The following is a 26327-nucleotide window of genomic DNA, read 5'->3' on the forward strand; positions in this document are numbered from 1 at the left end:
GTCTTTTATTTTCCTTTTTTAAAACACCAAATCTTGAGAATACTAAAACTGACTCCAACTAATGAGGTCACAGTACCTGATAAAAACAGTATCAAAACATTTAACACTCTTTAACTGAACTCTCAGAAAAGTCTTTGGCTTCAGGAAAGGGACTGGCTTTTCTAGGGTCAAAATACCTTTGCCTGAAGATAGCCTCACTGGCTGCAGGTTTGCAGGGACAGTGGGACCCCAGCACCCCTTCTCCACTTCTGGGTCCCTACCCCACATGCTCCTGGCCACACCTAGCCTATCTCAGACCAAAGATGTTGGAAAATAGCCTTTGGGGGTACCTTGGGAGGCCAAGAGAGGACATTTTGGACCATCCTGTGAAGCCCTTGCAGAGTGTGTGACCACGCCACACTGGCCACTCTTGGCCTGGCCCTCACCAGGCTGCCTCTTAGAATCAGTGAAGCTCCCAGGGAAATGGGGGTGCCAGCAGGGCTGGTCCTCTGGATAGGCCCTGGGTAGACGACCGTCCAACCTGCTTCTCCCTTCACCTGTCTCACACAGGGCGATACAAATGCCCACCCTTATCAGCGTATTTCCTGGGAAATACTCACTTCCTGCCCAAGACATAGCATGAACAAATAATTGAAAGCTTAATAAACCAAACTACAGGGCCCCATCCAGTGTGTAGTCCTCTGGCCATTTCAATTCACAAGACCCCCCCGAACGTTCAAGCCCCCTGCTGAGTTCCCAGCCCAAGCACCCCATCTCCTCCTGAGACTGTCCGCAACAGCGAATCCTGAATCCCTACACCCTGCTCTCAGTCCCCAGCCTTGCCCTTAAATCCTGCATTTGCTTCCTGCACTCCATACCTCTGTCCTTGCCTAAGCTCTGATGTCCTCTTCCCACCCCCAGGCCTCTGCCCACTGCGCCCACATCCCCAGACTCACCCAGGAACAAAACCTCGCGGTCCAGTCGGCACTTCAGTTGGCACTACAGGGATGTGACGGTGAATGTGTCCTCGGGGTGAGGTTCCGCCATGGGCCCCAGGAAGCCGCTCTTGGGGCCCCCACCCAGGCCAGGATGCGCCTGGGGCATAAAGCCTGGGTACCTGTAGGCGGTGTCCTGCAGGGGCAGCAGCGAGTCCCTCGGCACGGGGGACAGGGTCAAGTCACTAAGGAGTGGGCAGCCATAGCCAGCAGCGGCTGCAGCAGGGCCACGGGGTGGGCCAGGGGGCCGGGCCATTTCCAGTGGCTCCTTGTCGGCCTTGGGCGTGGCTGGTGGGCTAGCCAGGTGAGGGGCACTGAGGCACGCGGCCTCCGTCCTGCCCAGGAAGTCAGCCAGCAGCCCTGTACCCACCTTGCCTTCATAGGGCGGGCTGCGGGCAGCTGAGCCTGGAGGGTACCAATAGGCTGTGCCCTTGCAGCTGGGGGAATCGTAGTGGGGCTGGCCCAGCGGCAGGTCCCGGCAGCTCAGGTGGGCCTGGGCTGCAGCTGCGTGGCCCAGGCTGGCCCCCTGGAGTCCATGCTTGAGGGGCTCGCAGGCAGCCAGCTTTGTGGGCGGTGGCCGCAGCTCTTCCTTGAAGCCCAGTGTAGGCGAGCAGGTGGGCGAGTATGCCTTCTGCAGGCCGGCGTCAAACACCGTGGGTGGGTGGGCCAGCGGTGGGAAATGCTTGCCATCAAGCTCGGGAGCACCCAGGCTGGGCGAGTCGCAGTGGAAGCCTTGGCCAAAGGTGCCATCGGAAGGCGTGGACGGGTTCATGGAGTAGGGTCCTATGAAGTCACAGGGGTCTCGCTCTCCCACGCCGAAGGCCCTCGACTGTGAGGGCAGTGGTGACATGCTGCTGTCCCCGCTATAGTAGTCCAGGCCGAGGTCAGGACTGTCCTGGAACAGTGGGTTGACTGGCTGTGGCTTGGGGATGAACTTGGCTTTGGCCGCTGCGCCACCCCGCTCCTTCTTGGCTGAGCAGGCCCCACCGCCCCGTCCACCTCGCGGCTGCCGGGGCCCAGTGCTCCGTTTGGATGGGTAGCCTGAGGCAGCGGCAGAGGCGGATGTCGGGAAGCCCAGATGTGAGGCCTCGAACAGGTCCACCTTCTTCCGCCGTCCACGGCCCGGCTTGGAGCTACTCTGAAAGAGGACACTCTGGTTCCAGTTGTAGCCGGGGGCAGATGATGCCTCGTTCCAGTCCATCATCAGTTTCTCCAGGCTGGACAGGCTCGACTGGCCCTCACTACTTGAGGCCTCGCTGTTGGCACGCCGAAACCCCCCGCCACCAACCGGCTGATTGAACTGGGTGCTGTCGGAGGATGACTCAGAGAAGGTCTCCGACACAGCCGTCTGCTGCTTCACCTTCTGCGGTGTGTAGTTGGAGATGTCCAGGATCACGTTGGGCTCGCTGACGTGGCAGTCAAAACTGGGATTGTAGAGCTGACTAAAGGCCTCTGAGGCCCAGTCCAGGCCTCCATAGCCCTGCCGGAAAGGCCACTGAGAAGCCCCCGCAAACTGCCGACAGTTCTCGGGCGAGGGCTGGAAGGAGGAGGAGGAGGAGGAGGCGGCAGAGGCTGCAGAGGTGGCAGAGGCTGTGGTGCCCTTGGGTACCATGTAGCCACCGGGCGAGACTGTGCTGGCCCGGCTGTCACAGCGCAGGGGCGTGGGGGCTGAACCAGAGAAGGGGGCCCCCTCAGAGCTGCTGAAGAAGGAGGCCTTGCTTGGTGGCAGGCAGGGGCCCCCGGTAGGCGGTGGGGCATAGCCGGCGCTGTGGGCGCTGCTGGGTGAGGCAGGGAGGCTGTTGCCACTGCCATAGGCGAAGCTGCAGTCCTTGCTGTTAGCGCAGTCCTGGCCTGTAAAGGGCTTAGTTGGGGCGAATACGCTTTGTCCGGCCCCATAGCCGCCGTACTGGGGCAGGTAGGTGTTGGCAGGCGGGTGGGTGGTAGGTGAGCGGGCCATGGCTGAGGGCGGGGGCACCAGCTTGGGGAAGGTCTCGGCTGCCCGGCAGTCTGAAGCGGCTGGAGTTAGCCCATAGCTTGCTGCTCGTCCTGGTGGGAAGGTCTGGCGCGCGGACAGGACAGGCTGAAAGGAGGGGTCCGCCCCAGCCCCGCTGCTACCCACTGCCACTGGGCTGGCCTTGGCTCCCCGGCTAGGGAAGGTGGCCAGGCCCCGCTGGGCAGGCAGGGCACTGGTGGGTGGCCCTGCATAGGTGCCCGATGCCTTCCGGGACTCTGGGCGAGAGGCTGAGAGGGCAAAGTCCAAGAGATCGGAGGAGTCATCCGAATCGAGCAGCGAGCGAAAGTAGCCGGTGAAGAGGTTTTGGCGCTCCTGGCTGAGCTCGGTCTGGCCTGAGGGTGCACCCGTGCTGTAGTAGCTGCCACGGCCTGAGGCTCCACTCTCCAGCCCAGTGGAGGCAAAGGCCCGGGCCTCGGTCCCCTGAAACCCACAGTTTCGGCCAGCTTGTCCGCCTGGGTGCCCATGGTGAGGGGCCCAGCCACCACCCTTATCCCCGGCCCACTCAGCACCTGCCTCCCCAAAGCCTGGGCCACTGGGCACCTGCTCTGGGAACAGAGTCCCATTCTTCCGGGACCGTCTCTTGCGCTTTGGCTTCCCAGTCACAGCGTCTACCTCCCCCCGGCCCCGTTTGCGTGGGTGCCCCAACTCAGTAAGGCCCGGGCCCCCGACCCCAGCGGCTGCCACGGCCACCACCTTCTTTTTCTTGCCGATGCCCTCAAAGAAGTCACTGAAGGAGCATCGGGCTGACTTGGCCGCATGGCCCCCACCCCGGCCACCAAAACCGCCTGCTTTGCCCCCACGCCGCCGGAAGCCCTGCACACGATGCAGGAAGTGGGAGATGCTCTGGGTGTCGGGGGCCTGGTGCACCGACTCCGGCTCACTGGGTGTCCAGCAGCGGGGCGGTGAGCACCGTCCAGCGCACTGGCTCTGGCGGTTCAGGAAGGCCAGCTTGGCCAGGACGTCTGAGTACTCGGCCTTGCTGTCGTTGGCGTCTGCTGCATAGGATGGCTGGGGAGATGCCAGCTTCTGCTTCCGCCGCCGTCGTTTTTTTACCTCTGGCATGGCCATGGTGGCCGCTGCCACAGTGGCTGCCTCGGCCGCCACCACAGCTGGCTCCTTGGGCTTGCCGGGACCCAGCAGCAGGTTCTTAGGAGGGCGGCCGCGCTTACGTTTGAGAATAATGGGCATCTCACCGGGTGGGAAGACCACTACCACGTTCCGCCCATTGTTCTTCATCTTCAGCAGCGGGGTGGGCTCAGCCGACACGCGCAGGCCCAGCTCCTTGCCCTCCACGCTCAGGCTGCTGCTCAAGGAAGACACTTTGTATGTGGTCTTGTTCCGCCGCCCCAGCGATACGGGGATCTTGGCCATCTTCACCACCATGCGCCGCACGCCCCGGCACTTGCCTTTGCGGGTAGAGACCACTGGGGTCTGGGAAGATTCCGGCTTCAACTCTGGGACTGAGACCGGGCCTGGGCCTGGCAGGGCAGGGGGTGGAGGAGGCGGTGGTGGTGGGGGTTCGGCCAGGGCAGCCACCAGCCCCGTGGGCATAGGCAGGGGCAGTAGGCGGCCCTCGGGTCCGGCGTCTGCCTTGCGTCCCCGTCCGGCTTTCCGCCGGCGACACAGGATCTTTGGCCTATCAGTGCGCCGCAAGGCGTACTTGGGGTGACCCTCAGGCCCGGGGGGGCCGTGCGGTGAGCACAAGTCCAGGCGCAAGGGCTCGGCCAGTGGGCAGTGCCCCAGGGGCTGCTGGGGCTCCAGACGGCGACCTGGGACGTCAAGCAGCTTGGGCAGGGGGTCGAGTGCCTGGGGGTCAAGCAGCTGCGACTCCAAGGAGTCAGGCAGGGTGTCCAGGGCCTGGAGAGCCAGGCCCGGCAGCCCCAGAGGATCAGCAAGAGGTTGCAGGGGTGGCAGCTCCAGAGCTTCCCCGAGCGGCTCTAGTGCCTGCGGGTCCAGGAAGCGGGGCTGGGGGTCCAGGAGCTGAGGCTCCGGCTCGGGCGATGGTGGCTCGAGGGCCTGGGCCTCTAGCAGCTGGGCCTCTGGGCAAGTGAGGGAGGCCAGCTCACTAAGGATGTCGGCGTCAGCAAGTTCTGAGTAATCAGTGCTGTCTGGCTCAGGCTCTGGGGGCAGACCCGTGGCCGCAGCCGTGGCTCCGGGACTATGGCCTTGGCCAGGCTGGGGACTGTCCCTAGGCTCAGGCTCAGGCTCGTAGAGGGGATGGCTGGGCCGCTCCGACTTGGCGTGTGGGGTGGCCCGCTCCTCAGGGCTACGGATGCTGTTGGCCAAACTGGGTGAGGAGAAGAAGCTGTACTGTAGGTCGCCGGGTGGCGGTGCAGGCGGGCGGCTCAGTCGGAGCCCACCACAGTCCAGGTGTACACCACTGTGCTGCAGGTCCTGGGAGAGGCGTGTCAGGTCCTTCATGATGTCAATCAGCTGCACCACTGGTCGCAGGTTCACCCGCCCGTTGTCCCAGCAGCGTCGGGAGCTGCTGCCGTCTCCGACCGGTGTGGGGCAGCGGGCCTGTGAGACAGGACGGGCTGCCCGTGGGGGCAGCGGGTCGTCCCCCTTGGCAAGGACTGGTGGGCGCCGGGTGCTGGGGTCCCGGCGTGGGGGTGGGCGTGGGTTCTCGGAGAAGGCGTGGGTGGAGAAGGCCTTGTCAGGTGGGCTGGCAGGGGGCCGGGTGGGAAGCAGGGGCCGGGGGGTGGGGGGGCCGCCGGGGTAGTACTTGGGTTCCCGGAGGTAGTCAGGAGAGCTGCACACGGCACTGGAAGTCACCACCAGGCCCTGGGGCTTCACACGCATCCTGACCTTGTCCTCCGCAGGCCGCCGGGCGGGGCCGGGGCTGACATGAGGGTGCGAGAAGCCGGGACCAGGACCTGCCAGGCAGGAAGAGCAGGAGGTCCCTTACTGAACACCTACATCCTCATCAGCTTCCCATATCCTTGATGAGCTCCTGGACCCCTCCCTCCTGAGGTCTCATCTCCTTACCAAGCTCCCCTCCCCACCCCAAGCCCCATCCCCTTGCTGACTCCCAGCCTTTCTCAAACCACCATGTGTATAGTGAGCCCCTCATGGGCCCAGTTTCACTTTTTTTTTTTTTTTTGGAAGAGAGTCTCACTCTGTCGCCCAGGCTAGAGTGAAGCAGCGTGATCTCAGCTCACTGCAACCTCCGCCTCCTAGTGCAAGCGATTCTCAGGTGTCAGCCTCCCAAGCACCTGGGATTACAGGCATGCGCCACCACACCTGGCTAATTTTTGTATTTTAGTAGAGACGGGGTTTCACCAAGTTGGCCAGGCTGGTCTGGAGCTCCTGACCTCAGATGATCCACTTGCCTCAGCCTCCCAAAATACTGGGATTACAGGCGTGAGCCACCATGCCCGGCCCAGTTTCACTTATTGACAGCTCATCCCCTTTGGGAATCTGGCTATGCACTCAGGAAGAACAGGACCCCTGCCTTTGAGAGGGAAGCACATCAGCAGGGTGATCAAACTTAAGGAGAAGGCCAGGAAGTTCTAACAAGGGCACGGCCTCCCTCCTTCTTACCCCGAAAGGGCTCCAGGAGAACCCCCACCACTCACCCTCGGCTCTGCCGCCTGGGCTGTCACACTGGAGATCTCTGTGGGCAACAAGACGGGCAATAGATCTGAATTCCCCAAATGGTCTGGTGGCCACAGCTCAACCCCTGCCCACCGGCCCAGCCTCCTCCAGGTACCACCCCCGGCTCCCTCAGCGCTCTGTCCAGCGCAGACACCCGGCTGACCTGGAAGAGAGAGGGCCCCCGTGCCTGGGGGCTCTGCCAGTCGCTGGCTGTCAGCTGGGGGTGCTGTGGAGCAACTTCGGCCTGAGCCCAGGCCTCGGGGCGTGGACAGCGCCTGGAAAGGACCATCGCAGCTCAGGTTTAGTGAGCACCTACTGCGCGCCAGGTACTGGGCTGGAAGCTGTCCAGGCATCGTTTCATTTAATTCTTCATACCAATCCTGTGAGGTAGGGGCTATTAATAACCCCATTTTGCAGATGAAGAAATGGAGGCTCAGAGATAAAAGTAACATCATTCATTCATACACTCATTAGTTATAAAGTACCTACTTTGGACAAGGACTGGACAGACAGACACTGATCAGATCATTATAAATGACTTAATTACTAGTGGGATAAGAGCTGCAAAGAAAAAGTGAAGATGCCTGAGGTCAGAGCAATCACACCGGGAGTCAACAATAAAAGCCCATAGTTTGGGGACATTTTCTGTTGCCAAACACTGGGCCAAGCACTTTATATAGATTATCTCATCAAATTCCCCAGACAAACATGAGATCAATATGATTATCCTCCCCAGTCTTACAGAAACTACCCCCTGGAAGATGGTAAACACCATAAAAGCAAGGATATCTGTCCTATTCACCACTATATGTATTTCCCAACACTCAGAACAGCACATGGCCTACAGCAGCGCTTAAAAAAAAACAGCTGTTTGGCCAGGCGCAGGGGCTCACACCTGTAATCCCAGCACTTTGGGAGGCTGAGGCAGGAGGATCGCTTGAGTCCAGGAGTTCGAGACCAGCCTGGGTAACATAGCGTGACCTCGTCCCTACAAAAATTTAAAAATTAGCTGGGCATGGTGGTGCACACCTGTAGTCCCAGCTACTCAAGAGGCTGAGGTGGGAGGATCACTTGAGCCCAGGAGGTTGAGGCTGGCTGCTCTGAGCTATGATCGTGCCATTGTTCTCCAGCCTGGGCAGCAGAGTGAGATCCTTTCTCCAAAACATTAAATTAAAAAAGTTTGTTGCATGAATGAACGCACACAAATGAGGTACGCAAAGCAATCAACCCTGCCTTTTCCCTTGAGGCTCTTTCTTCTTCTCCAGACCCAAGAAGGATGCTGAGAGAGGGACCTAAGAATGTGAAAAGGGACATTCTCTGATCCTTCTTCCACCTTCATCGGAAAAACTCTGCTGCTCCATCCTACCTCTGGCCTTGTCCTGGCCCCTGCTACATCCTCTCAGAGCCCTATGTATTTCACCTTCATAGTATTCATTGCAACTATAATCAATTACTTGCGTGACTGGCTGTTTAGTGTGTCCCCCACAAGAGTGTGGGCTCTTCAGGAGCAGGGATCACATCTGTCTTGTTTATCGCTGTATCACCTGACCCTGGGGCCTGGGCTATGAATGCTACATAAATATTTACCGACTGACTCCCTGAGCTGGTCAGGGCAGAGCTGGGATTTAGATCCAGGCATGTCTGACTCCCAAAGAAGCCTGAGGACTCAGGGCCATGGCTGATCCCAGGAGCCGGGATCTCAGGGAGCAGGGAGCTGAATGGACCCCAACACTGTGAGGGTCTTAAAGACTGACCTTGTTCACTGCCTAATGTTTGGCTCTGACCTAGTACTGGATCCCTGGGACCTATGTGCCACAGACCCATGTAGATTCTCCCCACCTACCCATGCTGTCACCCCACAGGAAGACTGCAGAGCTGACTCGGGGACAGGATAAAGTAGAAAGAGACACTTCTCTACTCCCCTTTGGGGGACAGCGATTTGCAATCTACAAAGCACCTACACATCTGTGACCCACTGAATCCTCACAGCAGCCTGGGAGGCATGATTTATTATCCCCATGTTACAGGGGAAACTGGCTCAGAGTGTATGTGTAACTTGCCTGAAGTCACATAGCTGCTAAGAGGCAGGATTTCTAATTCTGCCTTAAGTCCAAAGCCTCCTTCCACTCCCAGCTCCTGTAACAATCCTTCAGCCACTTCTGAAAATGCTCCTTCTAGCGCCGTGGTCTAATTTAAGGCTGGGAGGAACCTTAAAATTATCTAACCCATTGGCTTCCAAAGCCTGGGCCTGGGGGAGCTGTGTAACATTCCAGATACCCAGGCCCTAGTCCAGGGGAATGTGACTCATAGATGTGAAGGGACATCTGGGAATCTGTATTTTTAACCAGCTACCCCAGTGGGGACACTTTCTAGTGCCATCTCATGCCCCTCCCATTTTACAGATGAGGAAACTGAGACTTGAAGAGGGAAAGAGACTTTGTCCGAGGTCACAAAATGGCACAGGAAGGGGCCCTTTGGTTGCCCACCCAGGTGGAACATCCCTCTATCCACTGTTCCTTCTCTCTCTGCAGGCTCCAGGACTCAGCTGCTCCTCGTTGTCCCACCTACTGGTCCCACCTACTTTGCTCTCTCCCAGGCCTGGCTGTGGACCTGGCCCCTCCCAGGTCAGGATCTCTCTAGTCCAAGAACTTGGAGCACTGTTGCCCTCACAGGGAGGACAGTGGGTGACACCCTCACAAACGAGAAAAGGGGCTCAGACTCTGGAACCTCCAAGTCCAATTTCCAACAGTGTGGTTGGGCCGTGGCTCCTGGCACCCACTTGGAGATGCCCACCAGAAGCCCCCTCCCTCCCTCCCTTACTGAGGGTCAGGCTAGCCGAGCCTTCCCCGCCCTGGAGACCTCCCAGCTGGGGCCTGAGGGTGTGATCTTGGCAGAAGAGAAAAACCTCCTCTCCGGTGGTGGCTTCTGTTCAACCCACCCGTGAAGACCTCTGGGCACGTCCTCCTGCCAGGCCTCCTGAGGCTGGCCACTGCTCTCTTTTGCAGCCTCCAGGATCTGAGGGAAACAGCTGGCTCCCCTCCTCACCACACCCCGGCGGCCATTCTCTTGGACCCCTCCCAAGGGTACCACCTAGCCCTGGTCTGTGGACAAAGTCAAAGGGGTACTTCTGTCTGCCTGTCTGCTGTTGGGTCAGTGTGTCTGAGCTTGCCCATAGGGACACCAGCTGGTTGGGAGGGGGCTGGGGGCCCCAACCTGCTGTGCACAGTGCCGGGAAGCGCCAGCCCACATCCTTGAGTCCCCAGCCCCACCCTCCCCGGCTGTGGCTGTGACCACCCCACCCCTTCCCCAGCCCTCCTTCCCCTCCCCCACCCACTGCCTCCCCAGGGGAGCCAGGCTGCCAGCCCCAGCTCTCACTTCCGGCCTCATGACCCTCTCTCCAGCTTGCACACTCCTCCTCCCCCACCATTTCCCTCCCAGCCTGGTTCGAAGGCCCTGGGATGTCCTCAAATGGAAAACACTGCATCAAAGGGGCCATTACTGCTGCTCTGAGACCTTCCCATCACCTCCCTTTTCCTCCAGGGGCCTTATCTCTCAGGATCTGTCCCTCAGGGACTAGTCATCACCTCTGTCCACCTCCTTCCCTTCAGCCGCCTACCTGCCCACACAGTAACACCTGAATATCTTCTTTCAACCTGATCCCAGGCACAATATCATAATACAAATAACAATGATGGCAATAATAATGGCAGCTGTCACTCATTTGGCATCATTTAAATAGAGGCACAGAGAGGTTAAGTTATGCCCTTAAGAACAAACAGCCATCTCATTCAATTAAGCTGGTGTCTGAATTTAGGTTGGGCTTCTGTAAATCAAACTTCTTTGGTGTCCAGAGATTCAGCGCCCTCCCCTGCAGCCTCCTACAACGGTCCTAGTCCCAACCATCAGTTCTAATTTTTGACTTCTAATCTATCCTCCTCTCAGCTTCTAGTCACCACCTCCCACCAACAGCCATCCAACTAGATGCACTACTCTCCCTCGCCACTAGGTGTCCCCTTGGAGCCACTGATGCCCCCAAGGGGAGCTGGCCCTGCCCCGCCCCCTGGGGCCATCAGGGCCCCCCCACAGCACAGCACAGCAGTGCACACCCCACCCCACCCTACCCCCAGCCACACAGAGCTCCTTTGTGCAACCCTCGCCCACCCCCTTCCTCCCTGGAACAGGGCACCTGGCAAGCAGGTCTGCCCCAGAACCGCCCCCTGCCAGCCCCCTGCCCTGGGTGCCAGGTGTGTGGGCGCCACCGCCAGCTCTGGCTGGACCCGAGGGTCACCCTGCCGGCGGCCCTCCCTTCCTCCCTCCGAGGTCACCCAGGGACTAAGCTTCCCGCCCTGCTCCGCCCCCCTCCCCTCCTGCCCTTGGCCCTTCCAGACTCCCGTCCTTGTCTTTCCTTCTGTCTCCCGGAGGACTCCCCTCCTCCAGCCCCACTAGGCCTTCCCTGCAGCCTCTCACCCCCGCCCACCTCCTTCCCCAGAGAGCTCCTTGTTCCACGCCCCCCCGCTCCCCGCCCAGGTCTGAAGAACTCCTCCTCCTGGAAAGTTGCTGCTGGAAAGGAAGTGACTTCAGCAATTTGGCCACAAGGCTGGGCACTGCTGAGCCCAGCTCAGCTCAAGGCTTGCCCAACCCACCTCCAAAGCACAAATGGAGCCACATGTGCACATCACTCCCACTGTGCACCCAGAACCCTGAGCACACACTTAGCCAGTGTACACACAGATCCCCGTGTGCATACACCGTACCATCGCAGTGTATTCAGATCTTGTCTATACACACATCTCTCCAGTGTACACTAGCACCCTTGCACACATGACATCCAGTGTGGCACACACAGTATCCCCACACCTGCCCAGTACACACCCAGAATCCTGCATATTCATACTTCCGGGTACCACATACACAGCCCTTGAACGCTCCCCAGCCCAGTCCACTTACACAACTCTTGTATATTACCCCATGTGCACGGAAGGACAGAGCCTTCCACACACACCTGCTTGCACACAAGCTTGAGTGCCCTGTACATTTACATTCGGATACACACAGCCTCGCATCCTCCCACAGCTGTACCTCCCCACCCTTACAATCCCAGGAGACTCCACCCCCAGACCTCAGGCCCCAGGAATGCTCCTTTGGAAGTAGGGTGGGGTCCCCAGGCAGGCTCAGCTCTAGGGAGCTTCCTGGAGCCGCAGGCTTCATGTGTCAGTTCAGGGAGTTGCCTCTGCAGGGCAGGGCAGCTTCACCTGGCTCTGCAGCTCCTGAGCCTGGGTGGGCTAACCTGGGCCAGGAGTAGGGAGGTGGGTCCTGCCACTGCCCCCGCCCCCTCCCTGTCCTGCAAGGGCACCTTAGCATACCTGGGCTACCCAGGCCCTCCCAGCACCTCACCTTGGCCTCCCAGTTCTCTGCTTCCACAGACTCCGGTAGAGAGGTGTCCTGGGGGGGTCAGCAGCTGCACACATCAGGCACTCTGGTTTCCACCTCTGCCCTGAGTCCTGGTCATTGTCACAACCCCTTTCTCCTCCCAGTTCTCTCAGGTCATCAAGGCGCAGGGAAGAGTCCTCAGGCTAGGAGGTAGGACTCACTGTATATCCATGAGCCTCAGTTCCCCTTTCTGGATAATGGGGAGTTTGAGTAAATGTTGGGTTAATATGTTTTGATTCTGTAAAGAAGCTCTTTTTGACCTAAGCTGGGAGGGGATCCCTGTTGGGACTGGGAGGCAAGTTCCCCTGATCCCCACTTCCTGGGGGTGGCCCAGGCCCAAGCCTGACTTCCCTGCACACTGTTACCTGAGCAGGCTGCGAAGATAGGCTGGGCTCAGCAGGAAAGGCCTGTCTTCATCAGCATCTCCAGGGTGGTCTCTGCAACGGCCTGAGCGTCGCCCCGCACTCGGGGCCCTCTGCACACGCTCAACTGGGTGGGCTCTGGGGTCCAGGCCGATGGGTTGACAATCAGGCAAGCTCCCATCTGTGGAAGCAAACACAGCACCACAGAGATAAGCATGGACACAGGGTAAGCCAGCCAGACAGCAGGGTGCAGGCGGACACTGAGCCAGGAAGCTCTCCTACATGGAGTCCCATCCACCTCCAACCTCATCGCATTATCCCACCTGGGAACTGTGAGACTCTTTTTAAAAAAAAAAATAAGAGAGACAGGGCCTCATCTCGTTTTGTGGCCCAGGTTGGAGTGCAGTGGCATGATCATAGCTCACTGCCTCCTTGAATTCCTGGGCTCAAGTGATCCTCCCACCTCAGCCTCCCGAGTAGCTGGGGCTACAGGTATGCACCACCATGCCTGGCTATTTTTTTTTTAAATTTTTTGTAGGGACAGGGTCTCACCATCTTGCCCAGGCTGGTCTCGAACTCCTGGGCTCAAGCAATCCTCCAGCCTCAGCCTCCCAAAGTGCTGGGATTGCAGGTATGAGCCACTGCACCAGCCAAACCTGTTTCTTGAAACCCCAGGCTCCTACTGAGAAGCAATGTTTTTGCACATCTATGTACACACATGCATATACATGCACATATACTATAGTGGAAGGAACCTGGCCTTTGGGAGTCTGACAGTCCTTGGCTCAACCTTCATAACTGTGTGACTCTGGGCAAGTCAGTTAACTTTTCTGGCTCTCAGTTTTCTCATGTATAAAATAGGAAAAGTGAGATCTTATGAATGGGGAGGAACATCTGGGGAAACTATAATGCAAACAGGTTACTGACAATGCAGATGTGAGAGGTGCTGTTCAGAGTGATGGTGGATGCGAATTTCCACAAGGGTGTATATGCAGCTGGCGTTTACCCATTTCCATCAGTAACTAGTTATGTCTCTTGTTTTCTTTAATAACCATGGCCCTCCTCACCACCCCCCTGCTTCCTGCCCATTTGTCTGCCTCCTCGAGGTCTGTACTGGAGCCCAGAGGGGGTCTGGGAACCAGGCCTCACGGATTGCTTATAGGTTCTGGTTGCCTGGGAGTTTGTATGCGTGTGATCGAGATTCTGCCTGTGCAAATGCATATCTGTCAAGGCTCAGCTGTCTGGGTAAATATACCTGTATGTGGGTTCCTGGGTCTATTTAGCCTGTTCGTGTGCTTCTCTGTATTTCTGTACGTCTGTGTGGGTACATGTGGGCTTAAGCGTGTCCATGTGTGGGATCACGCGTTTGCTCAGTTGTGGCTGCTGTGGTCAGCTGTGTGTGTGTATGTGTGATGCCAGCTTAAGTGTGTGCCTGGATTTGGTGTCTTCAGTCATACATGTGGGTATGTGCACTTTTCACGTTTATTTCTATTCGTTTTGTGTGTGTGTGTGTGTGTGTGTGAGTCTAGCTAAGCCTGTTTGTGTGTGAGGACACAGGGGTGCATGTGTGCCTGTGTGTAGCCAGGTGAGCCCAGCTGTGGCTGGGTGTGAGCATGCCTGGGTGTGCACACGCTTTGCCTGGCTCTCTGCATCTCGCTGTGTCAGGAGCCAAACCGGCTCCTGCCTGTCTCAGAGCTCTCTGGATGTGTGTTTGGCAGGGGGTGGGGGCGTGAGGCTGATCCTCTGCTGTCCCTGCAGGTTTCCAATCTCGAGGCCTGTGACTGCAGGCACTGGTGTCACTGTGGATCAGTGTTGCCTCCCTCCCACCTCTGCCTTTCTCTGGGTTTTCAGGGTCATGGTGTGGCAGTGTGACTGGCCACAGTGTCCCTGTGGGTCTCTTTCACCATGGGTCAGTATGTGCTCGTGTGTGTGTCCATGCATGTGTGGATTTGTGTGACCTTATTGTGTGTCTGTGTACCACAGCGTGTCTCTGTGTATGTCAGTGGGTCCTTGTGCTATGTCACTGTATGATTGTGCCAGTATGGCCGTGTGTCAGCGTCAACATGTGTGAGCAGGTCTGTGTGCCATGGTGTGTCAGCACAACGGTGCCCCAGGGTTTGTGTGGTACCTTTGTGAAGGGCTCAGTGTGTGAGTGCGTGTGTGCATGCATGTGAGATACCCTTTGTGAGACGGTGTGTGTGTGTCTGTGTCACTGTGTTTGTGTGTGCCTGCTTCCCTCTTCCCTCCCTCTCCCTCCCTTCCTCTCTCTCTCTCTCTGTAGGAGCCAGACAACTCCCCAAGCCTGGATTAGGGACAATTTATCCACAGGCAGAGAAGGAGAATTCCAACCTGCCAGAGCCTCCCTCCTCTGATCTGTCCCCCCTTTCCCTGTGGTTGGGTGGGCACAGAAACACAGCCCGGCAGCTCCCAAGCCCTTGGGGAGCCCCCACCTTTGCAGCTCCCCAGAGGCCCAGGAGGAAGGAAAAGATGGAAATCTGGGTGGCCCTAGAGCCCTCCAGTGGGGGTAGATTGGCTGCCCCCCATTCAGGCCCCCACAGCTCGGCTCATCTTGGCCCTGTTCTCCTACATATGGTGGTGGTGGGTGGGAGGAGTCTGCATGGGGTCTGCCTGGCCCTGAGTGTTGGGGGGGAACTTCAGGAGCAAAGCTGCCCTTAGCCCCTCCACAACCTGATACTCCCCAGCAGATAAACGTCAGGCCCCCACCCAGTGTAAATGAACTTCCAACAGTGCCCACACAGGCTGGGGGAGCTGCTGGGAGGCAGAGGACAGTGTGGTGGGGGGAACACAGCAAGGAGGGGTGCAGGGGCTGGGCTGGGACTAAGGCTCCCTTCACGGTGCTCCAGGCGCAAGGCAGAATCACATGTTTCCCATTAGCTGCTCTGGCCTCCTTGTTCAGGGGGTGTTGGCTGGGGGAGATTTGTTCTGGTTGCAGACACCAGCCGAGACCACACAAGAGAGAGAGAGGAAAAGACAGAGAGAGAGAGCGTGCCAGAGGGAGAGAGGAAAAGACAGAGAGGAAGAGGGAGAAAGATACACAGGGAGACACAGAGACATGGGGAGAGAAACAGAGACAGAGAGACAGAGAAAGACAGAAACTGGAAGACGGGCACGCACAAACACAAAAGCAGAGACGGACTGGTGATGAGGGGCTCATGGAAGAAGGGAGATGGAGAGGAAGGTAGAGAGAGGCGGGTGAGACCTTGTCAGAGGCTGAGGGGAGGGGGTAGCTCAGGCCCAGAGTGAGTCTGAGGCCAGTAAGGACCAAGGAAGAGCCCCAGAGGGGAGAGAGGCACGGGGGAAGCGAGCCAGGCAGAGATGGGAAAGGCAGGAGAGAGCAGGGACCAGGGGTTTCTGCAGGAGCCTGAGAAAGAGGCAGCGAAGCAGAGGCAGGGTGGGCCGGGGAGAAGGGCCGAGGGGAGGCCTGTGTGGGCAGTAGACAGGCCAGAGCTGGGATGTGTGGGCAGGGGGAGTGGACGCGCCCAAGCTGGCTCGGCGGGGGCGGCCAGTGCGCCAAGCCTCCCGCCTCCTGACCCCCGAGCCTGGGAGAGATAACAGGCCCGAATAGTGCTGACTTGCGGTTCAGAAATCCAATATCCTCCCCGGTGCACTGATCGACTGACTACCTGAGCTCCCGGCCCGCGCAGAGCTGCCCCGATTAATCCTGTGGCTCCAGAGCCTTAATTAGTTTAACAGTTTCAGGGGCAGGAGAGGCAGGAAATAGGGTCCCCAGGCCCTCAGGGACACAGCCCCCTGCCTCCCATGCAAACCCTGCCTTGGTGCCCCACCTCACAGACACACACCTGCCCTGGCCCTAAAGGCCCTTCTCCACACCATCTGAAGAATGCTGGGTCCCTCCCCCTGGGGAACAGTCCCACGGGCTGACATATGGGTGAGAGGGTAGATCATGCGGGACTGAGCACCCCCCAGCTCCCACTTGTCCCTCTGCTCAGGGCCCTAAGCATTTCCTCTGGCCAGCCCTTTGGGGCTCTGTGGTCTGCATGGGAAGGCCCCACCAGCTGCCAGCCCCGTATCACCAGAAAACATGTCGTCTCTTTAGAGTGAGACACGAGCTCCCAAGTTACTGACAACTTCCCAACAGCATGAGAGAATCACACATGCCACTCCCCACAACAGCCTGCGACGGGCACATGGTGACATCTCACACACACAACAGCCAGAGACAGGCGCACAAGTTGGTGACAACCCTCCTAACGGGATGAACTAAGCACATAACCTGTCGCTTCCTCCAAACATGAGATGGGCACACCTGACACACCCTCGACAGCATGGGGCAGGCGTCTGTTACCCCTCACAGTGGCATAACTGACACGCAACCAGGCACCCCCACACCCACTAATGCACAGAGAACCTGTTACACAGCTGACCAAGACACACACACACGCACGCACGCATGCATGCACACACCCACACAAAGAACCTGTCACATAGTTGACCAAGACACACACACATGCACACACACACAGAACCTGTCACACAGCTGACCAAGACACACACACACGCACGCATGCATGCACACACCCACACAAAGAACCTGTCACATAGTTGACCAAGACACACACACATGCACACACACACAGAACCTGTCACACAGCTGACCAAGACACACACACACACACACACACACGTGGGACAAGTCCCATCTTCCAGGTGTGAGGAAGGCATGGACCCCTCCACCCACCACACAGCATGAGGCAGGGACATAACCTCGCCCCTGCCTGGGAATCCTCCCTGCAGACTGTGGGATGGGTACACAACATGTCACCTCCCCGGCTGCCTTGGACAGGTGACAGCCCACCTCACCCCTCCCCCATCACTGTCACCAGCCTGGGTGGTGCCGTCCCTCTGCCTGCAGAGGCGTCACAGCTCACACGGCATGAATGTCACCCCAGCACTGCCAGAGCCGGGCACAGCCACACATTGCCCCAGTGACAAACACCACTGGCCCCAGAGGAGGTGAAGGCACACAGGGCTCTGGTGTGACCTTGGCCTCTGGACACCAGGAGGGGAGGTGCTGTGGCTTCCCGCCCAGTGGCGGGTGCTGGGGGAGAGGAGTGCTGGGGAGGAAGCTGCCTGGACACACTGACTACCTGGAAATGCCACCTCCCCCAGCCCTCACTCCACTCCATTTCTTATTCACTGTAGTTGTGTATCTAGGGAGGGGGCTGAATGAGTGGTGGAGGGAGGGCTGTCCTGAGGCGCTGTTACTATGAGACTGCTTAGAGATCAGTGGGGAGTAGGGCGGTTAGGGGTTGCTATCACCATGTGCTCAGTGGGAAGAGTATGGGATAATGGCTTGAGACCCCCATAGCTTCCAGGGGAGCCCTTCTTCCTTACAAAGGCCCCCTCTCCAAACTTCAGGCCACAGAGCTGGGGACAAGGAGGCCAAAGTCCAGGAACATGACTCACCCAGGGAACAGGCCCAGCCTGCTGGCCATAGTGGTGAGGGAGGCCAAGAGCCAAGAGGCCTGGGTTCCAGTCTGAGCTCCTCCAGGGCCAAGCTGGGTGACCTTGGAGCAGCAGCTCAGCCTCTTTGGCTTCGGGGAGGGGGGAAGGGGCCGCAGTGAGAGAAGTGCCAGGGTCAGAAAGAAGAAGCTGAAGCTGGAGACCAGCAGGCAGAACTTCAGGCCACAGAGGGCTCCAGCCCGCCTCCCCTGCTCCCCTGCTTCCTCACAAGGAACCTCATCTTCCTCATCTGTACAAAAGGGACAAGAGTGCCAGCCTCATGAGACAAGGTAGCATAAAGTGGGCCGCTCCTCAAGAAATGGGAAGCTTCTGATTGAAGAGAGGGAGAAATAGACTAAGAGACTTGCCCAAGCCACAGAGCAAATTAGGATCAGCTGAACTCAGCCTCCATCTCCTGGCTCCCCACCTGGAGCTGTTTCTTTAAGACTGCTTGGAGGTCAAGTGTGGAGGGGGACAGGGGAGATGTTGGGGTGTTGTTGGATGCAGTGCCTCCCTGCCGCCCGATGAAGACCAATGAATCTGATAGGAGTCCACCATGCCCTACCTTTACCCTAAACCCCACTTGGCCCAAAGCTTGGACAAGAGGAGTGGCTCTAAGGGGAGGGAGGCACCCCACCTCCCACCCCATCATGACCAGCAGCAGCACCTGGTGCTTGGAAGGACTAGAGGACCTGAGATGTCAGTGTCTAGGGCCCCTCGTTTTACAGGAGCCCAGAGAGGGAAAGGCCTAGCCTGAGGTCACACAGCACGACAGCACAAGAGCCTAGAGTCCTGGCCACGGACAGCCTCAGAGCAGAGTCCCCCTAGCCCCTGGGGGTGGCTGGAGCTGGGGGGCCCTGGGGGACTGAGTAAAGCGTGGCGACAGATGGCCTGCCGAGGCAGCGGCGATCTGGGCGGCTGGCAGGCATGCTCGCTCCCGCGCAGGGAAGCGGCTAATTTTAGCTGAGGCCTCGATGCCAGCTTTGTTCCCCCCACCCACCCGCCGAGGGGGCCCAGCATGCCTTGCGTGCAACCTGCCTCCCCCAGGCACCCCTACTCCCCCGCCTGGCCCCTTGGTGAGTAGTGCCCAGACCCCAGGATCCTAGAACGGTCTGCCTGACCAGGCCTCACCACACCCAGAGGTGAGGCCTGACTCCCCTACCCCAGGGCCTGTTTGCCCACGACTCCAAGCTCATTCCATGAAGAGGGGCGAGAGAGGAAGGACAGAGGCCACTGCCCAGACTGGGAGGGCGGGCCAGACAGCAGGGGCTGCCAGTCTTGAAGGGAGGCGAGGCACTGTCCTCCACCCAACCCTTAAGGAGACAGGACCCTGATTCCACCCATGCCCTGGACAAACATTCTGTCTGGTGTCCCCCGGCGCTGGTGAGCAAGGGGCGGGAGTCACTCTAGTCTTTCCTTGTTCCTCATAACTTTGAGTTTGTTCCAGGAACTCAAAGCACTTTAAAGAAGTCAGACATGAAGCAAGGATAGTATCCCTATACCATCTGGGGAAACTGAGGCACAGTCTGAACTTGCCATCATTTTAGCAAGGGAAGGGACAAATCCCAAGAATCAGTGAGGCCTGTTCTCTAGAGAGCTTCTTGGGCCAGTTTAGCTCCTGGAACTATCTTCTGTTCCTACCCTGGGCTAGTGGAAGGTAGACTAGATGGATGGAGCCCATCCCCTAAAACCCTGGAAAGGCAGACTCACACTCTTGTTTCCTGGTGCCACACTCTCTGTAGGCTCTTCAACCTTGCACCCTCCATTTCAGGTTCAACCACATAAGCCCAGTGGGGCTTCCAGGACATCTGGCCCCTACTAAAAAGAGGGATCCTTTGGGGTGACTCTGGAGCCCTGCCCCCTGCACCAGCTCCCCAATCTTCATAGGCCTGGGAAGGAAACAACCTGGTAGGAAATAGAGTAAGGAGAACTGAAAGGCCCAGCTCTGAAAGAAAGATATGTATTTAGAAGGACAAAGTCAGAAGAAAGACAGGGGGCGGGAGAAATCAAGGCAGAGATTCAGATCCAGGAAGAGAGACAGAAAGATGAAGGACACTGAGGCAAGAGAAACAGGGCAGAAAGAGGCAGAAGGAGAAAAAGATCTGGAGGGAGGGGGCGAGAGCCAGAGAGGGAGAGAGAGGGCGACCATGCCAGAGGAAGGAAAACAGCAAGAAAGAGACTCAGGAAGAGAGAGAGACAAGGAGAAAGAAAAAGACAAAAGAGAGAGACAGGCAGGATGATGCAGAGACAAAGACACACGCACAGGGGGGAAGAGATGGAGAAGGAACCTGAGGAGTCTGCACAGACAGGCGGAGGCACAGAGCACCAGCGACCCGGGAGCTGGAGACAGACAGAGGGACTGACACACCCAGAGCCCCACAGCGACAGTCGGAGGGTGAGACACACTCAGATGGGGTGGGAAGAGGGGGTGACACTACTAAGTGTTAGAGTGTGGGGGGAACAGCAGTAGGCAGAGGTGAGGAGGGAGGGGGGTGGAGGAGGAGGAGGAGGAGGGATGTCATTGCCAGAACTGGGGGGGGACAGAGGACAGAAATGGAATGTGGGTCTGGGCATGAGGCTCACAGATGCATCGGCTCTGGTTTCAGCTGGGGCAGTTGGCTGCTAGGGTGGGGGGAAGAAGGAGCAGAGCTGTCGAGGGAGGGGGGCCTGTTGCCATGGAGGCGGGCACGGCAGGGGCACAGTCTGCTGGCACTTGGAGCTCTGGGCATGGTAGGGGGCTGAGGCAGAAAGGCAGGGTAAGGAAGAAGCCTCGCCCCTGCCCTCGGGGCTCTACCAGGAAGAAAGTTTCCAGAGAGCCACAGAGATGCTGGGAGTGGAGCATGGCTCTAGGCCCTGACCAATCCTAGGGAGGCTGTGGAGGGTGCACTGCTCTCCAGGCCGTCTGTGGGCATCCCAGCTTCCTGCATGCGCCTCAGGCTGGCCCTGGGGACCCTCCTCCTCTCTGTCCCCTCCAGTCTAGCTGAAGATCCTGCATGCTGCTGCTTGCTGCCACTGCTGCTTGCAGGGAAGCAGCAAGATTGTGAATTCAGGATCTGTAATCCTAACGCAGAGCCCAGGCCTACCGGGCTCCAGTTGCCAAGGCGACGGTGGGTCAGAGGGCAGCGCGGGGCGCCCGCTCCTCCAAGTCAGAATCCCAATTGTTAAAGCCCAAGAATAAACAGCTGAAGCGGCCGTCGGGGGGCCGGGAGGGGGGCTGAGGTCTGCATCGGCTCAGTGTGGTGTTGTCAAGCGAGATGTCACTAATTGTCTGAAGGAACAGGCTGAGGCAGCTCTTAACTGCTTCTGTGCCACCGGAGACACCTTGGCTGCCTGGCCCCATCCCTGGGGCCTCCCAGCATTCCACCAGGCCAGGCTATTGGTGGGGGCAGTGCTGGCCCAGCATAATCCCTGCCTCCCTTGCACTGCACTGAACCCCACATACTTGTGGCTCCTAACCCTCCTCTTTGCTCAACTTGGAACCTCCCACCTGCAAGCTAAATCATTATGTCCCCAACACAAGCACCCCCAAATCACTGGGCCCACAATACTCCTTGTAGCCCAGAACTGCCCCTTTGGCTTGCAAAAGCCCTCCCAGCTCCCCCAACATCTCTCCCTCTTCACAGAAGTTGGGGTTCTCGTCCAGATTTGTGGATTGCAGAGGAAGGTAGGCCTAGGGCTCTTCCAGTTTGTGGGGAGGGACAGGGAAGGGCAGAGGCCTCCTATGGGGAAAGGTGAGGCCTAAAGCAAGTCTCCGTGCAACTCCCTGCTCTTAATCACACACCTGAACCAAAGGCCTGAAGGAAGCTGGGAAACCTGGTTTCCAGCTTTGATGCTCCTACCTCCTTGCTCTGTGTGACTCTGGATGCAGTGGTGGCTATTCTGAGGCGGGCCGGTGTCTGTAACGCCTGACCAGAGGCACACCCAACCCTGTGGGTGAGAAGGGCCCGATAGTACAAGGTGGACAGCCCGCAGAAATGCAGCCGGTAAGCCATTCCATGGAGCAGTGTGGGGGTACACTGAGCAAACTGCTCAGTGGATGGCAGCTAGCGCTGGCAGTAGTGCTGGTACTGCCCTTAACTACAGAGGGTCCTAGAGGGTGCGGGTAATCAGAAAAGATCGCAGGGTAGGTTCTAGGAAGGCTTCCTGCAGAAAGTGGTACTTGGCAAGATCTTGGGGCAGGTGGGCTGGAAGGTGGAGCACTCCAGGAGAGAGGTCTTGTGAGGAGCTTCACGGGAGCAGAGCAGCTCGGTCTCAGGTCGCTCGCGTGTTCAGCCTCTCCCAGACTTGGAAGGGCGAGGCCTTCAACGGTCTCCCCGCCCCTTAGGCCGGCCCTGCCTTTTCCTCCACCTCCCGCCGACTCCACCCACGGCGCGTCCCGAACACCAGGAGCGGTGCCCGCGAGGGGGCGGGCCGCGCGGGCCGGGCTCCCGGAGATTGGTAGCACCTGGAGTGATGTCGCTAGGGGCGGGGTCGGGGCTTCGGACACGCCCTCTTCCCCGGACCCTTTCCCCCGGCCGCGGCGCGGGTGCCCGGGAGGGGGCGCTCCGCTCGCTGCGCCCCTCAGGTGGGAGCCTGCGGCGGGCCGGGCCGGGCCGGGGCGCTCTTCGTGGGCGGGGAGCTGGGCGCGGAAACAGGGGATCCCCCAGAGAGCGCCCAGCCCAGCCTGGGGCTGGACGCGTACAAAAGGCGACTTGTTCTTTCTCGGGATGCCTGCGCCTTCTCAAACATACCTACAGCCGCACTCCAGGGACAGCTACACCCACACACCCGCACAAAGCCTGCCAGGGTGGGGCGCGGGGGGCTGGCGAAAGCCCCAGAAATCGGCCGTAAGAAGAGCCCTGCCCTGAACCCCCCCGCCCACTTGCCACATACTCAAAGCCCCCTCACCCCATCCCACCCCAAATCATCTGGATACTACCCCCCATCGCCCAGTGCACAGCCCTGGGGACACTGACGCAGTCACATTCTGGAAACTGTCTTCTCCCTCATATGGTCTATAGCTCACCAACCCCTGCTCTGGAGTCAGACTGCCAGCTGCAATCCTGGCTCCACACTGTGTGTGACCTTGGCATCCAATAAGGCTTGTTAAGGTTACTTTTTACTGAGCACTTACTCTGTGCCAATCCTCATCATCACCCTACATGGTGAGTACTATTAGTCTTATTTTGTAGATGGGGGAACTGAGGCTTGGGTAAAATAGCCTGCCTAAGACAGGCAAGGATTTGAACCCCATGTTCTTCCATGTCGCATCATCTCAGCCTCCCATCACACCACCTTACACCCTAGCACCCCACCACACACACAACTGCAGACAGCAAAGCCATCTATCTCAGAGTTGAGGTGTAATTCTCCACCCCAAACATACCTCGCTGTCACAGTCTAGTACCAGGCGGGTTCTCTCACTACTCAGTGTGTTTGGAGAAGGGAAGAACATCTCCTACCTCTAAGCTTCCCCAGCCCTGATGCTGGCCGTCAGGAGTCATAAATGGGGCAGCGTGACAGCAGGGCCAGAACAGGCTACCTCTAACCTTTCCAGCAGGCTCACCTCCACCTCCCCTGACCCCCGGATGACAAAGCACTGCCATATTGGTTGGGGCGCCTGGCCTGTAGCTCTCTCCCTGACCCGACAGGCCTGGACCCTCCCCTAGCCCCAACCCCTGCTGAGAACAAGTAGAAACAAACTCCTTCCTGGGGATGTCAAAGCACCTTTCCTGGGGGAGGCGGCACTGTGATGCCCTGAGTCTGGCTAGGGAGAAGGATCGGGTTACTCTTTCCCCAGCTGTGCCTAGACTCCCTGGAGCTGACCTTTCACCTCAGCCAGGCCAGGACCCAAAGGGGGCTGGAGTCCAGCCTTCACCTCCTGTTAACCCTCTGCATTCCTCATCTTTCCATTCCTGGGCCCCCAGCGGGTCTCAGGAAGCCCAGCTGGGCATGCCAACCTTTCCCTACCCTCCCATCCTAGGGTCTGGTTTCCCAGAGAGCTTTACAGAATGCTCCTCCCTGCCCCCTGCCCAAGCTGCCCTGCCGGGATCAGATACCTCCGCCCAAGCAGCTGAAAATGACCTGGGCTATTTTCGCTCTGGGATCACGTTGCAAACTCCCCCTTGAGCTGGCAGCTTCCCACACCCCTCCAGACCATCGCCCCCCACCCCTCATCCCTCACCCAGGGCTACTGACTAACAGGACAGGAGGGCTTTTAGAGACCACTGGCCTAAACCCTTCAAATGGGGATACTGAGGCCATGAGGAGTCAGGCACAGGGCTGGGCAAAGAACCAAGTTTCCTGGGTCCCCGCCCAGGTCTCTTTCTACTGTCTAGCACAGCTTGATCCGTACCCTAGATCTCAAATCCTCTGACCCAGCCAAAAACCTAGCCAACCTCCCCTAAGCACCAGAAAGTCACACTGCAGGCTACCAACAAGTCCCTGAGCTGCCCTGCATGTCAGAAACTGCCTTGGCCACACTCTTCTCTTTGTTTAGAACTGGGACCAGGTCTGTACCTGTGTCACAGGCATGTGCACCACTGGAAGGTTTTAGGGGGTGCAAACTGGGAGGAAAGATAGGGAGATTGAGGCCTAGAGGAATGAGGAGATGGACTCAAGCTTTATGTATCTTAATACTGCCCAGCAGCCCCTTGCCCCAGCTTCTTGGCTCCCCCTTTCCATTCCTGCAAACCAGCCCCCTCCAGGCCCCTGCCCCTGCCCCTCTGCCTCAAGCCCCAGCCCTCCTGGGCAGGAATGTGACTGGTCAGGTCTGAGCTGACCACATGAGTGGCTATAAGGTGACAGACCCCCCCACTCTCCCATCCCCCCAGCCTGGGGGAGCTCACATACCAACGCAAGGGGTGGGAGAGCTCCTTTAACCCTTTGCAGCCTGACTTTCAGGAAGAAAAGGCAGGGTACTCTACTTCCTGTGGCCAGACCCAGTGTGGGCTGCCAGGTGGAGGGAGTGTAGGAAGAATCTCCTTTAGCGAGCGGTGGTGGAATGAGGGTATCCAGAAAGTCCCCACTAGTATTCTCTGCCACCCCAAATGTCCCATCTCATCTCCCATGCCATTTGGAAAAATAGTCATGAGCTAGTGCTGAGGGTGGAGAAGGAAAGGAGGCATTATGAACCCCAACCTCAGGAACCCCTAGTCCAACAGGAGAAATACAACCCTGCCCTGGGGAGTCTGATGGGGGAGACCAGGCACAGAGGCAGGCTGGGACAAAGAGCCTGGAGCGGAGCAGAACCCTGAGCTGCAGCAGGAGGAGGAAGAAGCCAGGGCAGGAGCAGAACAAGTCAGGTGGGGTCAGACCGGACAGGCTTCCTGGAGGCCCCCTCGGCCCACAGCCCTCCCCCCAGGCTCTGGAATCTCGGGGGTCAGGGCTGAGGGACAGCCCCACCCCCTGCTCCCCTCAGGCTCAGGAATTCCACCAGCCAAGGAGGGGGGGGTGGCTGCTTCGGCCTCAGTCCAAGTTGGCTCCCACTGGACCGGGAACAGCAGCTCCTCCTCGGCCCCCTACTTCACCCAAGCCCTGGGGCTGGCCCCCAGCCCCCTCCCCTCCCCCTCCCAGGCTGGCATGGTGTGTGCCAGGCGCTGGCAGAAAACAAACCCGCCGGGGTGGGTTTGCAGGGAGCGGGGTAACCTTGACACAGTTGCGGCAGTCGCTAATGGCAGACACACACTCCGCCTGTTCTGGGGGGACTGTTGCCGTTGCTAGGAAACCAGCAGCCGCGTGAATGGAAATGGGTCAGTAAACCTGGGGAGAGATAGTGTGACACTCGAACCACTGCAGCTGCTCCAGCCCACACCGAAATCCCTCCTCTTCAATATTTATCACTCCCACCTGGGCCCTCAGCTCCTGCCAGACCCTGCACCAGCCTGGCCTTCAGCCCCCCAACTCAAGGCCTGACAGGGGTGGGGGAGAAAAGAAATGGAGGGGGTTGCTTATCCATTTTGGGGGGTGGTCCAGACGGGGTGGAATTGGTTCTGGAGGAGATTGAACAGGAAACAGAGTCTAATCCCGTGGTGGGGAAGGGGTTAAAAGGTCAATTCACGCCTGTTCCTGACTTAGGCACCGTGGTAAAATTACTGAGAGTGAGGGGGCTTGAGGCTGCCTGCCTGCTTACCTGTGGAGGGACTGATTAAGACAGGAGACCTCCCTCCAGGTGTCCTGGGGCCCCCCTCTGTACAAAGATAGAAGGGAAGAGGCACCCAAAACATGGCCAGGATTCACTCACAGCCTGAAAACACCACCGGATGGTCCCAGTACAACCTGACATCTGATAGCAGCCCAAACGGCCAGGAGCTGCCTACTGCCTTACAACACTGTTCTGGACAGCTACACGTCCGTACCCTAGCCAGCCACACATGCACTGTTCAGAGGCCCTGACAACACCCCTACAGATACCCCCACAACAGTACATGACAACTCCAATTCCAAACAGTGCCACTCAGCTCAACATCCATAAACAACTGACAAACC

At 58.5% G+C, this 26327-nt stretch overlaps 1 protein-coding gene across 26 annotated transcripts in view, besides 4 other annotated features; it reads right to left on the reverse strand.

Annotated features, from left to right (window-relative positions):
• AHDC1 (AT-hook DNA binding motif containing 1) overlaps positions 1–26327 on the reverse strand; it is a 69983-nt gene that overhangs the window by 12081 nt on the left and 31575 nt on the right. For 9 of the 26 annotated variants that reach the window (XR_007059182.1, XM_047418019.1, XM_011541255.2 and 6 more), the window contains 5 exons: positions 12381–12558; positions 11980–12205; positions 6749–6860; positions 6567–6604; positions 936–5864 (listed from right to left, as the gene is read on the reverse strand). Coding sequence is in view for 23 of the 26 variants with exons in the window: in XM_047418019.1 (XP_047273975.1) it covers positions 979–5790 (4812 nt within the window). In the remaining 3 variants the exon portion in view is untranslated. Of the gene's footprint in view, positions 1–935; positions 5865–6566; positions 6605–6748; positions 6980–11979; positions 12206–12380; positions 12559–12929; positions 14485–21700; positions 22132–26327 lie in introns of those variants that run through there. The other 17 variants (XM_047418013.1, XM_047418021.1, XM_047418012.1 and 14 more) reach the window with 6 other exon arrangements.
• Positions 9090–9645: an enhancer, noted in NCBI's record as "H3K4me1 hESC enhancer chr1:27881926-27882481 (GRCh37/hg19 assembly coordinates)". NCBI's record gives its function as "activates a minimal SCP1, AML or CMV promoter by ChIP-STARR-seq in primed H9 embryonic stem cells {active_cell/tissue: H9 hESC(primed)}" and the evidence as "EXISTENCE:reporter gene assay evidence [ECO:0000049][PMID:30033119]".
• Positions 11157–11246: an enhancer, noted in NCBI's record as "active region_556". NCBI's record gives its function as "activates an Ori minimal core promoter by ATAC-STARR-seq in GM12878 lymphoblastoid cells {active_cell/tissue: GM12878}" and the evidence as "EXISTENCE:reporter gene assay evidence [ECO:0000049][PMID:35858748]".
• Positions 16549–17276: an enhancer, noted in NCBI's record as "H3K27ac-H3K4me1 hESC enhancer chr1:27889385-27890112 (GRCh37/hg19 assembly coordinates)". NCBI's record gives its function as "activates a minimal SCP1, AML or CMV promoter by ChIP-STARR-seq in naive H9 embryonic stem cells {active_cell/tissue: H9 hESC(naive)}" and the evidence as "EXISTENCE:reporter gene assay evidence [ECO:0000049][PMID:30033119]".
• Positions 22074–22693: a silencer, noted in NCBI's record as "silent region_521". NCBI's record gives its function as "represses an Ori minimal core promoter by ATAC-STARR-seq in GM12878 lymphoblastoid cells {active_cell/tissue: GM12878}" and the evidence as "EXISTENCE:reporter gene assay evidence [ECO:0000049][PMID:35858748]".

This window comes from Homo sapiens, chromosome 1 (genome assembly GCF_000001405.40).
Source record: "Homo sapiens chromosome 1, GRCh38.p14 Primary Assembly".
NCBI classification, from domain to species: Eukaryota; Metazoa; Chordata; class Mammalia; order Primates; family Hominidae; genus Homo; species Homo sapiens.